The sequence below is a fragment of the Homo sapiens genome, chromosome 4 (assembly GCF_000001405.40).
Source record: "Homo sapiens chromosome 4, GRCh38.p14 Primary Assembly".
Lineage (NCBI taxonomy): Eukaryota > Metazoa > Chordata > Mammalia > Primates > Hominidae > Homo > Homo sapiens.
In genome coordinates this window covers 48,365,803-48,383,191 of record NC_000004.12, presented here as the reverse complement: position 1 = coordinate 48,383,191, position 17,389 = coordinate 48,365,803, and the positions used below count along the sequence as shown (strand labels likewise).

The window sequence follows — 17,389 nt, the reverse complement described above, 5'->3', positions numbered from 1 at the left end:
ACTTTTTTTTTTTTTTTTTTTTTGAAAACAGGATCCTGCTCTGTTGCCCAGACTGGAGTGTAATGGTGTGATCACAGCTCACTGTAGCTTTGAACTCCTGGGCTCAACCAATCCTCCAGCCTCAGCCTCTCAAGTCACTAGGACTATAGATGTGCACCACCATGCCCAGCTAATTTTGAAAATTTTTTTCCTAGAGACGGGGTCTTGCTATGTTACACAGGCTAGCAGAAACTGTCTAATTATTAGTAAAATCTGCTATTTTACCTTCATTTTTAACATTGCTTGTCTGTAAATCTGTGGGATGGCCTTGAAGTGAAAGGCGAGGTTGCTGTAAGCGGCTAATCATAGGCTGTGGGGACACTCTACTATATTCTATTCCCCGAGCAGGAGATCGTGAACGAGGTGAATTTCTGGGTGACTGCTTAGGTGACGGTCGAGGTGAATTGCGTGGTGATGGTGAAAACCTGTTAACAGCAGGGTATACTGCATGATGCATATTGTCATCTTCATCATCTAAACTTTGTGCATCAAGTTCCTGATCACTAAAAGTACCCCGTCTTGTAGAATTGCAAGATGAACCAGAACTGCGCCGAGACGTGGTGGCTGCATATTCTTGCCGGAGACCTGGCAACAATGAATGTTATTTATTTAAACAATATTTTTAAACATTTAAATAATTTTAAAATTTAAAGTAAAAGATTATCACTGAAAAATTCAAAGAGGGTGTAAAGTGTAAAAGAAAACTCCCTTTCTGCTTTTAGACTTATATAGGCTTATATGTCCATATAAGGAGGCATAAATCACATCTGAAGGTTATTTTTAAATTGAATGAAATCCCATAAACCACTGCCCAATTTCCAGATTTCTTCTTAAAGCTGAAATCTGTCTCACATGGTAGAATCATAAATTTAAAAATATTTCTACCCCTAAAGACAGTAATCCAAATTTGAGACTAATATTAAAGGAATATTGAGGGGAAACAATTACCATCCAACCAGTGGAAAAAGAATACGTATGTGAGTAAATAAAACTTCTTGGATACTTAATTACTGAAATAATCTTACTCATGAAGATGATAAAGTACCAAAGAAACTTCTAACCCACTTATAGGAATTCAGTACTTGGGCACAAACGAAATCTTGATTGCTTCACTACCCAAGAGACTTCCATTTTTATTGTTTTAAGCTTGTTTTCAAGCTTAAATTCTAAGTCTTCAAGTAAGAATTTTCAAAGAATTCTCCTATATAGCTTGATACCTTCGAAAACACCCAAGCAACCTTGGGAGCCCTTCAAATAGTACAGATGCTTCTAGAACAACAGAAAAAAAAGTTGATACGTAACATAGTCAATGAAGAAACAAACTGCAATGCAAACGTATAGAATTTAGGTAATATTCTGAGCACAACCTGCTAACTATTAGCACTCCAGTCAAAAAGATCTGTTATAAAGTGGTATTCAAATCCTAAAGTCATGTATTCACACACAGAAAGTGCTATCAACACGGTTCATCAAACCAGTGGATGAGAATCACCCTAGGGTATCTTTAAAACTATAAATTCCTGGAGTCCACTTAGCCCTTCAGTTAGTCGGGGAACCAAAATAGTAACCAACAAGTTACTTAGTGTCTAGTTATAGCCAACATGGCACTAAAGTCACCTAACAAAAGACAACAGACCAATGAAAAGAGCACTGTTGGATCACTATAGGAGCTTGCATTTCTCATCTTAAAAACGAATGACCTTGACCAGGTGACTGCCCAAATCTGTAGTTCTACATTTCTAATCATTACAAAACACAATGTTGTAAAAAGGAAAATCATCTCTAAGACAAAAAAAAAGCTGTAGTTTTCAAGAAGTATCACATATATTTTTATTACTATTTTTACTCATCAGGAAAATAAATATTCATGCATGTGGATGGCTTAGAAAAAATTATTAAAGTAAGACTAAAATTTCTATTGTTACCAAAACACAATACAAAACCAAAAGCAAAGAGCTGGTTGAGCTTCTAACAAAATACTAGGATCTAAAAAGCCAGGGTTCAAAGAAATGAGAGAACTTGTTCTAAAGTACAGAGTTAGGCAGCATTCTTTATTTTTTCACATCCACAACAATAACCACCCCCTAACCAGCTGACAATACCACAGTCTCACTGAGGAGTTAATTAAAATTACAGAAGAAAAAGAGTACTCTGCTATTAGGTTGCAGGGCTAAATAAAGCAAGCACTAAGTCCTTCTATCTTCCTAGGGGAAGCTATATGGAAATGGGAAGTGAATCAGCAGAATAAGAAACACTTTAGTTTCTTAATAAATGCTACAGCTTGATAAAGCCTACTACATATTTAAAGAGAACCTATTACATACACAGACAACAGAAAGTTTTTGAACTAAACCGTAGCAATGCTCCATTAACCTCAGCCACCTGTCAAGACTTGTCAACATATGTATTTCAAGGATTCTTTTCATTGTAAAGGTTGAAGAGATTGCTTTAGAGAGATTTCTTACTTCATAGTTATGCAGATGGCATCTTCTAATGAAATGCACTGGCAAGAATAAGTACCTTCAGATGAGTACCAGGGCAAGTAGCCATGAACCCTTTAAAAAGTATTAAAAATTTTGTGCATATGTACACTTTGATGATAAAAGGATTCTCAAAGGTATCTGTGGCCTAAAAAGTTTTCATCATTCACTCTGCAAAGCACCATCACATGCTTCATTTAATTTAATGTCACAATTCCAATGTTCTCCTAAAGGTCTTTTTTACAGTTTACACCATGTATTCTCAAGTGAGGAGATATTCATTCCCAAGAGGGCAAAAACTGGTTCTTGGGGTGTGAAAAAATTCCTAGATGTCATAATTGTATATGGCCCTCATAGTACTTAAACATATATAGAGTATATCTTGTGGTATTAAGATTTCATGGGGAGTGTGGGAGAAAAGGAAAAGAAGTTTTTAACAAGGCTCCTTAGGGGAGCAACCGAAAAGAAAAAAATTGAGAAACGCTGGTTTACACTAAAACACAAAGGGTAATAGACTAACAATTACAAGAGTTAAGTGCTAGTGCAGAGTAACATGCAGGGTATAAAAACCAGTCATAGAAGCAGAGCAGCATAAATGCTGTTCTTTGTCCCTCACACAGCATAACTGCTCTATGTAAAAATGGACTCTGAAAACAAGTTGATGAATAAACATGTACATATGTTGACTAAGTCTCTGAAATGTCCACTGCAACATTTCTACTTTCACTACATTACTACCCCCACAATACTTTAAGACATATTTAATATACAACAAAATTATGCAATAGTAAAAAACCTCAACTCTTAACAATTAGAATACTTACTTTCTTCCTGCATCCGGGCTAGAATCTGTACATCAGTTACATCATTTAGCTTATAATTGGATCCAATTGAATCTTCATCTAATTCTGAAGCACTTAACTCACTATCTATAGAGGACTGAGGACTGAGTGGAGGATTTCTGTCTGAGCTTTTCAAGTTACCTTAAAAAAAAAAAAAGAAAAAAATTCAAACTCTGGTAAAGCAACTATTGAATAAATGCCTACTGCAACTAACTTGATATTATACCCTTTGATTTAATTCATTCTTGTTCTGCCTTTTCTGCTTAAAAAATTCCCTGAAATTAGAAATTGACCTCATTAAGAAAAATGAGGGCTACTGAGACTCCTTTATATGCTATGGCATAAACATATTTTCATCTAAGTATAACTTATCTATTCTCTTATGTAACAATTCAGCTTTCAGCACAGTGCCTGGCAAGTAATTGGTGTTCAATAAGTATATGTTAAGGATTTCAACTTGCACAAGATAGCCAATGAAACTGCTCTATAAATAGATGAGTTTATGATGTAGTGTTTTCTTCTCCCGAATTCACAGTCATTGACAAACACCATCATCTTTTCCCTCATTTTTCTAAATGAGAAAACTATAATTTGAATAAAATTAGATTCCTTAGAGATTTTAGGAACAAAGACCATGAGGCTTGTTTCTCCTACATTATGCCATGTTTAAAGTACTTTATCATTCTAAACCAAAAGGAAGACAGAAAACAGGCCAGAGGAATAAAGAATACACACATCCAAAAAAGTCTAACTTGTTTCTAATGAAATATTTTCATCAGATCGTCAACTTTTACTAAATAATGAAATCCCAACACTGTCACTAATATTTCTATTACAGATTTATCTGAAACACTTGTTTTCCAGAATTCTTCACCATAACAGTCAGCTCCAACATGAAAAGCATGTAAGGAGAGCAAGAAGAGTACAAAATAATTAATCTTTATACTATTAATGAAAAAAGAGCAGAGTGCACATGATAGGAAAAGTACTACAAGGTCAGGCTCAAATAATGCCTGAACGAAATTACCTATTTTAAACAAATATTGCAGCTTAAACTTTTTAACATGGTATCATCATAGGTGAAGTAAGTAGCAAGTAACAACCTATATACTACACAAAGAATAGGATCATTAGACTAGGGAGTGCACAGGTCAAAATTTGAGGTGGTTAACCTTAATTTTTAAGGAAGTTATAATAATCAGTCATAACAACAGCTTCAGCGACAATAAGAGTAAATAAATGGGTGAATTGTGAATTCGTGAAGAGTAAGCTACACAATAACAGTCTCAGAGCAGAACATTCTTTCCCTGGTTTATAGCAATCTGGCTTTCCCACATCATTTACTGCCCCCTCACTCTGCTGGTACATTCACCTCTAACCTCATACTATTATTTAGCTGCAGTATCAAAGTTTATTAAAATTCCTATAAAGAGGTTTTAACTCTGTAGTTTTTACAACCCAAGTAGGCTGTTCAATAAGGATCTATTGATTAAAAGAATCACATTTGTAACCCATTTAATTAAGCCAGACTTACAAACTTTTAGGTACTTGCTAAAGAAAATTTTATGTATTTAGCACACTGGCTTATGTTTATACCCCTGGTGCCTAATATAGTACCTGGTGCTAAGTTGCTCCTCAACGATATTTTCTTTAACCAGTTAAAAGTTTCATAAATAAAATGAACTCGAACTGCAGATGAATGTTATTTTCTGATACAGTGCAGTAAGCTAAAAAACATTCCTTAATAGCTCCATATCATTTTCTCCTTACCTGAATTTCCAGGAAGTATAAGCTGTTTGACTATAGGAGGTCGCACTGGGGTTGAGGATGGAGAATTGAAGCCACTGCTGTATGGGCTACTGGCATTTGGACTGTAAGGACTGGTGTAACTCATAGAGTTGAAAGGATTATTATATAAATTCTGCCTCTTGAGAGCTGCATTAATGAGAAGGGGAAAATCAAATTTAACAACTGAGAAAAAGTTAACGTTTCATTTCTGAAGTTTTCCTATTAGAAAACTAAATCATTATCTCAATTTAAATGAAGAAATATTCTTATGGTAGTGGGGGAAAAAATATAATAATCCCAACAAATTGTTTCTATTATCTTAAACTGTGTATGCAAATAAAACAGTAGCCACATCAAACAACAAAAATAATGCAGGAAGAGTAACTCCTAAACAGATTATTGGCCACTTAATTCACTTCTACTATGTTGGAAAGTTTATTCTTTGATACTTGCTGTATCAATCCTGAGTGACCTTTAAAAATAAATGGAATATAAAAGCATACTTATGTTTTCTCATTTTTCTGTAACAAATGTATTACTTTTTATTTTAAAAAATATTCTTTGGGCCAGGCACGGTGGCTCATGCCTGTAATCCCAGCACTTTGGGAGGCTGAGGTGGGCTGATCACTTGAGGTCAGGAGTTCGAGACCAGCTTGGCCAACATGGTGAAACCCTGTCTCTACTTAAAAAAAAAAAAAAAAAAAAATTAGCCAGGCATGGTGGTGCATGCTACTTGGGAGGCTGAGGCAGGAAAATCACTTGAACCCGGGAGGCAGAGGTTGCAGTGAGCAGAGATCGTGCCACTGCACTCCAGCCTGGGCGACAGAGTGAGACTCGTCTCGAAAAAATATATATATATTTTTTTGTAGAGATGTGGTCTCACCATGTTGCCCAGACTGGTCTCAAACTCCTGGTGTCAAGTGATCCTCCTATCTTGGCCTCCTAAAGTGCTGGGATTACAGGGGTGAGACACTGCACTCAACCTATTACTTTTTCTAAAAGCTATGAAATAAGTTGTTTAAATCGCCTTTTCAAAGTTTGGATTTTTTTTTTAAAGCAATACCGACTATTATTAAGCCAGTTTAAGGTCAAGACATGGGAAATCCTTAAAAAAAAAAAAAAAAAAAAAGTCGGCCGGGCGCGGTGGCTCACGCTTGTAATCCCAGCACTTTGGGAGGCCGAGGCGGGCGGATCACGAGGTCAGGAGCTCGAGACCACGGTGAAACCCCGTCTCTACTAAAAAATACAAAAAATTAGCCAGGTGTGGTGGCGGGCGCCTGTAGTCCCAGCTACTCGGAGAGGCTGAGGCAGGAGAATGGCGTGAACCCGGGAGGCGGGGCTTGCAGTGAGCCGATATCGAGCCACTGCACTCCAGCCTGGGTGACAGAGCGAGACTCCGTCTCAAAAAAAAAAAAAAAAAAAAGTCAACCTGAATACTTCTGTCAAAAAAAGAAAAAAAAAATGTGCTATGCATGTAAAATTAAATAAATAGTACAACAGTAGGACTAAGATATCAAATGCATATATTTAAAAAATTAACACTTAAAATACTATTTCTTCCTTCAATCTTTTTTTTTTTTTTTTTTCTCTGAGACAAAGTTTTGCTGTCACCCAGGCTGGAGTGCAGTGGCGTGATTTCGGCTCACTGTAACTTCTGCCTCTTGGGCTCAAACGATTCTTGTGCCTCAGCCTCCCAAATAGCTGGGAATACAGGCATGTGCCACCACGCCTGGCTAATTTTTTGTATTTTTAGTAGAGACAAGGTTTTGCCATGTCTCCCAGGCTGGTTTCGAAATCCTGAGCTCAGATGATCCGCCTGCCTTGGCCTCCCAAAGTGCTAGGATTACAGGCGTGAGTCACCGTGCCCAGCCCCTTCCTTCATATTCTAATATCCACAGCTTATTCAATATTTATGAGCACTGGCAAGAGCACTTTATAGAATATATACAAGAAACAGGATATGGTGCTCTCTCTCTTAAGAGGCTTGCAGCCAAGTACCACAGGCAGAGTCAACAAACATTGCAAGGCAAAATGAAATGAGTACTATCATAAAGGTGCAAAGGGCAATGGAAAGGAAGAGTTAGGAGTAATTCATTACAACTGAGAGAAACTGGGTAAGGCTTTTTGGAAGGAGAGGCATTGAAGCAGTCTTGAGAGGATGAGTAGTAACTTGACAGGATGGGGAAAGTATGTGCTTTACTCAGTATTTATAAGATGAACAAAAGCAGTGTCTCGGAAATGCAGAGCATGCTCAGGTAAGTGTGATAAAGCACAGGGCAGGGACAAAACAGATAAAACCAGCTGGAGCCAGGTCATGGAAGGCCTGAGACACTACGCTCAGAAGTCTGAAACCTAGTTAGTAGGTTTCTAAACCTATTTAGTAGGCCACTAAGCCTATTTAGTAGCAGTGATAAAACTATCTGTGATTTTGATCAAGCATATGATATGATCTGATCAGTGTAAGGAGAAAAAATGACAGAAATCTTGATGTTTAATAAGTTAGACTGAACTAGGTAGTACACGGTGACTAGAAAAAAGGAAAAAAAAGAAAAAAAGGATAGATATTAAAAACTGGAAAGGATTGTTAAAGAAAAGAAATCAGCTGAATGAAATGTCTGGTTTGCCTACTGGTAGTAGTGGTTTTGGGGAGGAGGAACATATGTTTTCTGTTTAGTTAGACAGTGCAGTAATTTGGACCATGTAGTTTTGTACATATTCACCATGAGACAAGATGCAAGATAAAACAATATTTTATATATATTTAGTATGCAGTATGTGGCATGATCTTGGAACTATCAACCTGTGCAGAAATACAGTTGCTAAATTCTACCTTTTTCCTCCTCCTCCATCTCCTCTGGAGTTTATTCTCTTTTACTTAGTTATTAATCACTAGCATTCCAAGTTCTAAGCCTTTTTATCTTCTCAGTCTATGCCATATTCTTTCTCCTAAGGAATCTCAATCATACATCAATTATTATCTATATGCTAAACATTCCTCATTATTTAAATTTCTAGTCTTAAGTTTTCCTCTGAGCTTCAGACCTATATACACCACCCATTTAATGTCTCTCCCCTTGGGTATGGCAAATGTATCTAAGTCAACATATAAGATCAACTCATGATCTTCGCACTAACATCTAATTCTCTTCCAAGGGTCCCTCTTCCAGAATGATCCCAATATTCATCTTGTCGCAGAAGCTGGCAACTTAGAAATCACTACTGATATTCTTGTCCACCATTTCCTCATATTTGGTTCATTCCCTTTTATTACCATATCTACTATGCTTTCCATTCAGCATACATGGCCTAGCTATCATTATCAACCCTCTTCAAAGGCATCCTACATTCACTCTTGCCCCTTTCCAACCTACTTTCCATACTACTACTAGAATAACCTTTCCAAAATAAAATTGATGACGTCCTTCCTGTCCACATACACTACACCCTTGCAGAAAACCCTTCGATATTTTTCTAGTGCTCTTAAAAGTCCACAATTGGCCGGGTGCCAGTTGCAGTGGCTCACACCTTTAATCCTAGCACTTTGGGAGGCCAAGGCAGGTGGATCACTTGAGCTCAGGAGTTCAAAACCAGCCTGGCCAACATCGTGAAACCTCGTCTCTAGTAAAAATACAAAAAAAATTAGCTGGGTCTGGTGGCAGGCACCTGTAATCCCAGCTACTCAGGAGGCTAAGGCAGAAGAATCGCTTGAACCCGGGAGGCAGAGGTTGCAGTGAGCCAAGATCGCACCACTGCACTCCAGCCTGGGCAACAGAGCAAGACTCCGTCTCCAAAAAAAGAAAAAGAATAAAGTCCACAATCTTTAACATGGCCTATAAGGTTTTACAGAGTCTGGTTCCTATGTATCTTTCTGGCCTTATCTCACATCTCTCCTTTCCTTACTCTTCTCCAGCAACTTCTTCGTATATGTCATGCTTCATCCCACATGGAGCCTTTGCACATGCCTTTCTTTTTATCTGGAATGCTCTACTCCATCTCCTTTTTCTGAGATGGAGTTTCACTCTTGCTGCCCAGGCTGGAGAGCAATGGCACGATCTTGGCTCACCACAACCTCCACCACCGGGGTTTAAGCGATTCTCCTGCCTCAGCCTCCCGAGTAGCTGGGATTACAGGCATGTGCCACCACACCATTAATTTTGTATTTTTAGTAGAGACAGGGTTTCTCCATGTTGGTCAGGCTGGTCTCGAACTCCCAACCTCAGGTGATCCGCCCACCTTGGCCTCCCAAAGTGCTGGGATTACAGGTGTAAGCCACTGCGCCCGGCCACATCTCTTTCTTAGCACACTTAAGTTGTTCTGAATCTTAAGGTTTCAGGTCAAACATCATTTCCTAAGGGAAAATTCCTATTTCTCAAAGCACTATACCTTTATTCCTTTATTATATATATATACCACTAAAAAAATTATTTGTAGTATGTTTCCCCTACTAGATGATAAACTCCATTAAGTGCCAGTACAGTGTTCATTTTTCTTTATAATGTACCCCACCTCCACCCTTTTCCCAAAGCCTGATACTTAACAGGTTTGCATTAAAAATTATTTGAATATATGCATGAATGAATGTGATTCAACAGAGGTGATACTAGACACCATATAAACAGATGAAAACACCAAAACAGGGAGAGACATGAGGCAAAAGAGAGATCTGGGGCAACCTAAACCTAAAACAGGCAGAGAGGAAGCAAAGGGAATGGGAAGTTATTGGTTAACACGGGTACAGAATTTCAGTATGGGATGATGAAAAAGTTTAGTATAGGATGATTAAAAGCTCTTTTCACCTGGATATGATAGTGACAGTTGCACAGTAACGTGAATGTACTTAATGCCACAGGACTGTACATTTTTAAAGGGTGAAAATGGATAATTTTGTATTATATAATTTTATGACAATTTTTAAAAGATGGGTAGAAAAGGAAGAATCTTCAATGAAGACTGAAAAGAAAAGAGCAGGGAGGGTAAATGAGGGTTAAAAAGACAATACACTGTCAAAAAAAACAAGTGAAGAAAATTTTAGGAACGAGTGATAGTGCGCTGCAGCGAACCTGAGTGTGAAGGAGTAATAACTGTTCTGCTGCAATACAGCACTTAAGTTCCTAGGAAGCTCTGCCTTACCAAAAAAGTGTATTTAAAAAAAAAACAATCTCCTTGGGAAATGGGGGATTTACAACTACAAAGTTCAAACTTGTAAAAGCCAAAATTTTTCCTTAAAAGATTTTAAATATATATTTCAAATATACATTGTATTTATAGCTGTAGCTATTGTTCTATGAATACAGCTATAAAATTTAAACAATGTTAAACAGATGCAGTACTTAATTACACCTAGTTATGGTTCAAGAGTAACTGCCTCTCTTACACACTCCTAATATCCTCCTTGCAATAAAGCAAAGAGCCACTCACTCAAAATTGCTATTTTTGAGGTGCAGCAGCTTTACTTTTACCCAAGTCCAGGTTGCTAGTCACCAATTGCTAATAATTCATACTCCTTAGGACGTTTTAAACCAGGGGTTGGTAAAATATAGCCTTCAGGCCAAATCTAGTCCACTACCTGTTACATTAAGTAGTTTTACTGGAACACAGCCATGCCCACTCATTTATGTATTGTCTATGGCTGCTTGCATGCTACAAGAGCAAAGTTGAGTAACTGCAACAGAGATCTTACAGGCAACAAAGACTAAAATTGTTTATTATCTGGCTTTTTGCAGAAAAAGTTTGCCAGAGTTTTATTTATTTGTTTACTGTCTGACTCCTCTTATAAGAATATAAGCTCCAAGAAGTAAGCCATTTTTTGGTCTATTATATTCACTGCCATAACTTCAGTGTTGAGAACAATGCCTATTATAGCAGATTCTCAATACATGCTGTTCAATGATGAAAATTCCTAATTAAATTGTAAATTATATTATTTCTAAGGTGGGGTACTGAAAAACAGTTTCTAGGGATATATATGTGTGTGTGTGTATATATATATATGTATATATGTATATGTATATATATGTGTATATATGTATATGTGTGTGTGTGTGTGTGCGCGCGTGTGTGTGTGTGTGTGTATATACTTTTTGTTTGTTTTGTTTTGTTTTGGCAACAGGGTCTTGCTCTGTCACCCAAGCCGGAGTGCGGTGGTGCAAACATGGCTCACTGCAACAACTTCCTGGGCTCAAGGGATCCTCCTGCCCCAGTCTCCCGACTAGCTGGGACCACAGGCGCACACCATGCCTGGCTATTTTTATTTTTTTATTTTTTGTAGAGGTGGGGTCTCACTATGTTGCCTAGGCTGCTTCTGAACTCCTGGACTCAAGTGATCCTCCCAATCAGCTGGGATTACAGGTGTGAGCCACTCTACCTAGCCCTCTAGGAATATTCTTTTTTCTTTCAATCATGCTCCTTCTATAGGAATATTCTCAATATATAGTCAGAAAATTTCCATACTTAATGTTCTGTGGCATTAAGTACATTAATGCCAGAAATTGGTCAGAAAATGTCCAGCTATTTAAAATGGTCTACTAGCTTGTCTACATATTTCTAATAATCTCTTATGAATATAACTTACATCAAGCTTCAGGGTATAATTCAAACAAATAAGCTGATAGTCATACTAAACATTTAAAAAATCACATAAAGGCTATTGCTTTTTCAAAAGTGCTTCTTTGGCCAGGCATGGTGGCTCACGCCTGTAATCCCAGCAGATTGGGAGGCTGAGGCGGGCAGATCACCTGAGGTCGGGAGTTCAAGACCAGCCTGGCTAACACGGTAAAATCCCATCTCTACAAAAAATACAAAAATTAGCCAGGAGTGGTGGTGGGCACCTTAGTCCCAGCTACTCGGGAGGCTGAGGCTGCAGTGAGCCAAGATCACACCACTGCACTCCAGCCTGGGCAACAGAGTGAGACTCCATATCAAAAAAAAAAAAAACAAAACAAAAAACAAAAAACAAAAACAAAAGGGCTTCTTTTCATAGAGGAAAAGTAATACTTTAGTGTCAAAACTGACCCAGATTCAGAACCTCTGTAATAACATCCCGTAAGTTATTTGCATGTAACAACCACTACCCCTTATCACCAAATAAACTTCATTTTATGTATGCCACTTTAACTGTCCCCTCTGCTTCCTGTGACCATTTTCAGCTTAAACTCTAACCACAAAGCACATACTGTTTTCTATAATAAAGCCAAAATAAGTAATTTTAAGTACATGGCTGCCAAGTAAATAAAAACCAGAAAAACAACAACAAAACTAATCATGCATCCATCTTTTACTATCTGAATATTTCATAAAACAGACTGAGAGAAATACAAGAAGAAATGAACAATATTTTTCCTACATTTCTGCCCACACTGGCATGCTACATTAAATGTTATAAACAGCCACAGACACATTTTGTCAGCTTTGTGAATGCTATTAAACAAAAGAGCATAAAAGCAATTTAAACCTAAAATGTCAAGTAGTTTTACATAACAAGGGAAATGAATACATTTACTCAGCACTTACTGTTAGCCAGAAAACATGCTAGGCTCTTTCACATAACACTTAACCCTGAAAATTACCTTTCAAGGTTCATCATTCTTATGAGACAACTGAGCTCACACAAGTCAAATAATGCAGTGACAGAGCAATTAAGGGCTAGAGTGAGAACAAGGTCTCTGTAGCTCTCCACTTGTATCTTTCTACCACACCAGTTTCCCCAAAGAGTGGAATGTGAGAGGATTTTATACAATACCAGACATTTTATATTTTAATAGTTATTTAACTTGTATTAGAAAAAAGCTTATCATACGAAATTCATTATTTCATGGATATTATTCTTTAGGATGAGGCTAAATAAAAACAAGATTTTTTTAAAAAGCTATTAAGTAAATGATAGAACAGGGTTATGTGAACATGGGAAAAACTCTCATGATGATATGAACAATGAGATTTGAAAAATGCTCCAAAGAATTGCTTCCTAAAAACACAATGCTCAATATTTATGGTTTTTGACTAAAGAAAGCAAAGAGATGAATTTACAAGCAAAATTATAGACATACCTGACATAGTTTGATCAAGTTTGTGGATAAGAGATTTTTTAGCACACTCAACATCAGGACTTGGGTAATCCAAAACTTGCCTGCACCAAACTAATGGACTAACCGATTTCTGCATTGGTGTAAGTTTTTTCTTTGGTGATGAATACAGCCTAGAAGAAGACAACAAAAAACAGAAAATTCCTTATTAAGCACAAGGTTATATAAAACAGGGATCCTTTTGGATCGATTTAAATAGGGGAGAAGGGAGTAAAAGTCATGGAGTATATTTTAAATCACCCACATTTACTTACTGCACAGGAAGAAAATTATAGTAAAACAATCAATATAAATCCAAATTCCAAGTACTAAGTGAACCCAAATGAGGTATTCCTAAAGTAGGTGTTTTACTAAGACTATGAGAAAATACCTGTATTTCCAACAGTTTATTCTGTTTTCAACACTACTTGACTAACTCCCTAATATAGCCAGATTATTAAATCTACTTAGGAAGCAGAAGAAGGAGCTAAATTCTTTGCTCTCCACCTATTTCCCTTCCCACGACATACACAAACATCTACCATTAGTGATTCATTCCTTTTAGTTAAGCAGTATCCAATTTGTAGTCCTCTTTTCAAACGACAATGTGTTGGAGAAAAGCAATACTTTAACCCTAAATAACTAAATGTGAATCAATTACTAAATTGCTTCAGTTTCAGAAAAGGACCAAGAGACAGTATTTTATAAGCTAACAGGGAAAGTATACAGAAAGGAAAAGTTGAGCAGAAGATAAGGAAGTGTGTACATAAATTTTCTACTTCATGTTTCTCAGATTAATCCAGATTATGTCAGTTACTATTAATTTATTTCAAGTGTCACTCCATATGAAAAATGCAAATAGCTATTGATTTCTAACCAGGGTGATTTTCAAATAAGACACTTTAAATGGAATTTATGAAGCAAACAAAATTAGGCTTCGATACTGTATATCTAGTGAAAGGTTTCAATAAGGAGTCAATAATCTCATTTACATTAATCAAGTTAGTGTAATAACATGAAGTGTTGTTTCACTGTAAACATTTAAATAAAGATGTATCTACAGAACTACAATAGACAAACTACTTTTAGTGGCAACAGTACCTTTTCCATCACTTGTCTCTTTTCCCCATCTATAACTTAGGTCTGTCTCTCATATGCATTATTTAGTTTTGATCAAGATCATCAAGGCTAAATAATGGGGTAGATGACCATTTCTTTAGTCTACAATCCAAATTCATTTGGACAAAAATAGTGAAATAAAATCTCAATTTATGGAATAACTATCAATTCAAAATGAAATCAATGGGGTTCATTCTCTTTCCAATTTAAATACTGCAAAGATTCCTTAAGAAAAATCTCTACCTCAGCAATTACACTTTAAAAATTGTGGTAAATATTACATACTGATATCCTATGTCAGCAAATGTTTAGCAAGGTAAACCTCTATAGATGAATAATAACAATAATAAAACCATTTTATGATATTATCACTACTCTTTCAATATATATATTTTTCCTACACTGACTGGTTTTACATAATTTACCCACATGGCTCACATGTACTACATACATAGTTACCCTACTGCTGGCTATGAAACTCCTTTTTAAAAAGTGCAAAGCAGGGCCGGGTGCAGTGGCTTATGCCTGTAATCCCAGCACTTTGGGAGGCCAAGGCAGGTGGATCACCTGAGGTCAGGAGTTCAAGACCAGCCTGGCCAACATCTCTACTAAAAATACAAACCCCATCTCTACTAAAAATACAAAAAATTAGCCAGGTGTGGTGGCGGGCACCCGTAATTCCAGCTACTCGGGAGGCTGAGGCACAAGAACTGCTTGAACCTGGGAGGTGGAGGTTGCAGTGAGCCAAGATCACAATCACACCACTGCAGTCCAGCCTGGGCAACAGAGCAACACTGTCAAAAAAAAAAAAAGCCTCAAAAACACTACGTTCAGTGAATGCATACTGACACATAAGAATCCATTTATATGAAATGTCTAGAAAAGCATATGGAGCAGAAAAGAGATTTGTGGTTGCCTAGGGCTGGAGGTAGGAATGGGAATGAGGTTTCTTTTTAGGGTGATATAGATGTTCTAAAATTATATGATAGTGATAATTATGGTAATGGTTTGATCATTGTAAATACACTAAATTCACTAACATATAACGACTTTTATGGTATGTTGATTATAAGCTATGAATAAATTTTATGGTATATAAATTATATCTTGATAAAGCTGTTTTTAAAAAGTTGCAAAGTGCTTTGGCATCTTCAAAAATACAGAAACTACTACAAACTAAATGAATACAACAATAATTCAAAACCAACTAAAACATCACAACTGCCCCCCCACCCCCAAATCCCTCATTTCTTTCCTGTTAATAGCATTATAATTCTTTCAGTTATAAAGACTAAAAATTTGTAATTTAGGATTGCTCCATCTTATTTTCTACCCTTATCAATAATCTGTCACCAAGACTTGCTGAGCCTACCTTTATAAACTATTTTTTTCTCCCATTCCTGTACTTGCTCCCTTAATTGGGAATACAGAATGCTCCTTCCTTCCATTAGCAGATTAAAGCAACTTGTCCACACTTATTCATAGTGATGAAAAGGGAGACAATGATTCAGTAAGCCCTGGGTACACCAACTTTCTATATCACTCTATCCTCTTATTTCAGTGTCCCTATGTATTACTACCTGAAGTCTAGAAACAAAGGGCGTTGGCCCGTATGATATTGGCACAAAATTCCTTGGTCAGGTAACCTTTGGTTGAGGTTTCAAAGTACATACTTCTAAACCTGCCAGAGGACACATGAGCTGAGCTGTACCACATAACTGAATTCACCTTTAGCAGGACAGAGTTGTTTAAGTCTCTCAATTTAAAAGGAAATCCTAAGTAAACTCTCATTACAAATAAACCTATTTGTAATAACAATACATATCATATTCTTTGCTCATTTCTTACAAACACATGGACTTGTTCAAAATATTTTTCCCACTAAAGACATTTTTTTCATTTTGACACTTTAGAATTTCTTAAATCATAGAATATGATTTAATCAAGAGGGACACAATTCTGATGAACACAGCAAGTTTATTTACAGTTAATGCAACCTAAAACAGGTTGAGATTTAACAAGTTTTTACTTGCTTAAAAAAACAAACATTACTTCATTATCCTATTACTACTAAAATTAAGTCATGGAGGCCCAATGGGGAGCTCAGCCTCCAACGTGGCAAAACAAGGAACTGGGACATCCTATTCAAATGCAGATAGACTGGATTAAAAAATAAGACACAACGAAACGTTGTCTACAAAAGAAACATCTTAGATTCAAATTCATAAATAGGTTGAAAGTAAAAGAATGGGAAAAAATAAGACCATGAAAAAGTAACTACAAAAACTGGAGTGGCAATTATTAGACAATAGACTTTAAGATATAAAAGATTACTAGAAACAAAAAAATTACTGGAAACTAAAAGGAAGATATAACATTATAAATTTAAACATACCTAACAACAGTAATAGAACTGAAAAGAAAAACAATTCAGAAATTTTGTTTTGGGGTTTCAATAGCCGACTCTTAATAACTGAAAAAAGAACTACATGGACAATCAGAAAAAATACAGAAGACTTCAGCAACATTATCAACCAACTTTACTTAACCATTTATGGGACACTCCATCCAACAGTAACAGAAAACACACTCTTTTTAACTGCACATGGAACATTCTCTGGGACAGACCATGGGCTAGGACATAAAACAAGTCTTACTGAATTTTTAAAAACTGAAATTATTTAATGTATGGTTTCTGACCACAGTGGAATTAAATTAGAAATCAGCAACAGAAAGCAATGTAGTAAATTCCAAATATTTGGAAATTAAACAACATACTTACAAATAACAAAGGTCAAACAATGTATCACAAGGGAAATCAGAAACTACTGTGAACTGAATAAAAACAAAAATACAACATACCAATATTATGTGATGACGCTAAAAAAGTGCTTAGAGAAAAATTTGTAATTTCAAACACTTACATTAGGAAAGAAAAGAGGTCTAAAATCAATAATCTAAGCTTGAAAAATTAGAACAAGAGCAAATTAAACCCAAAGTAGGCTGGGTGCGGTGGCTCACGCCTGTAATCCCAGTACTTTGGGAGGCCGAGGCTGGTGGA

At 36.4% G+C, this 17,389-nt stretch overlaps 1 protein-coding gene across 3 annotated transcripts in view; it reads right to left on the bottom strand.

Moving 5' to 3' along the window:
* The window catches only part of SLAIN2 (SLAIN motif family member 2), an 84,673-nt gene that overhangs the window by 43,010 nt on the left and 24,274 nt on the right, over positions 1-17,389 (bottom strand). For all 3 annotated transcript variants that reach the window (XM_005248121.4, NM_020846.2, XM_047416023.1), the window contains exons 2-5: positions 13,195-13,343; positions 5,132-5,296; positions 3,344-3,502; positions 265-624 (exon numbers count right to left, since the gene is read on the bottom strand). In XM_005248121.4, the coding sequence (XP_005248178.1) occupies positions 265-624; positions 3,344-3,502; positions 5,132-5,296; positions 13,195-13,343 (833 nt within the window). The remainder of the gene's footprint in view (positions 1-264; positions 625-3,343; positions 3,503-5,131; positions 5,297-13,194; positions 13,344-17,389) is intronic.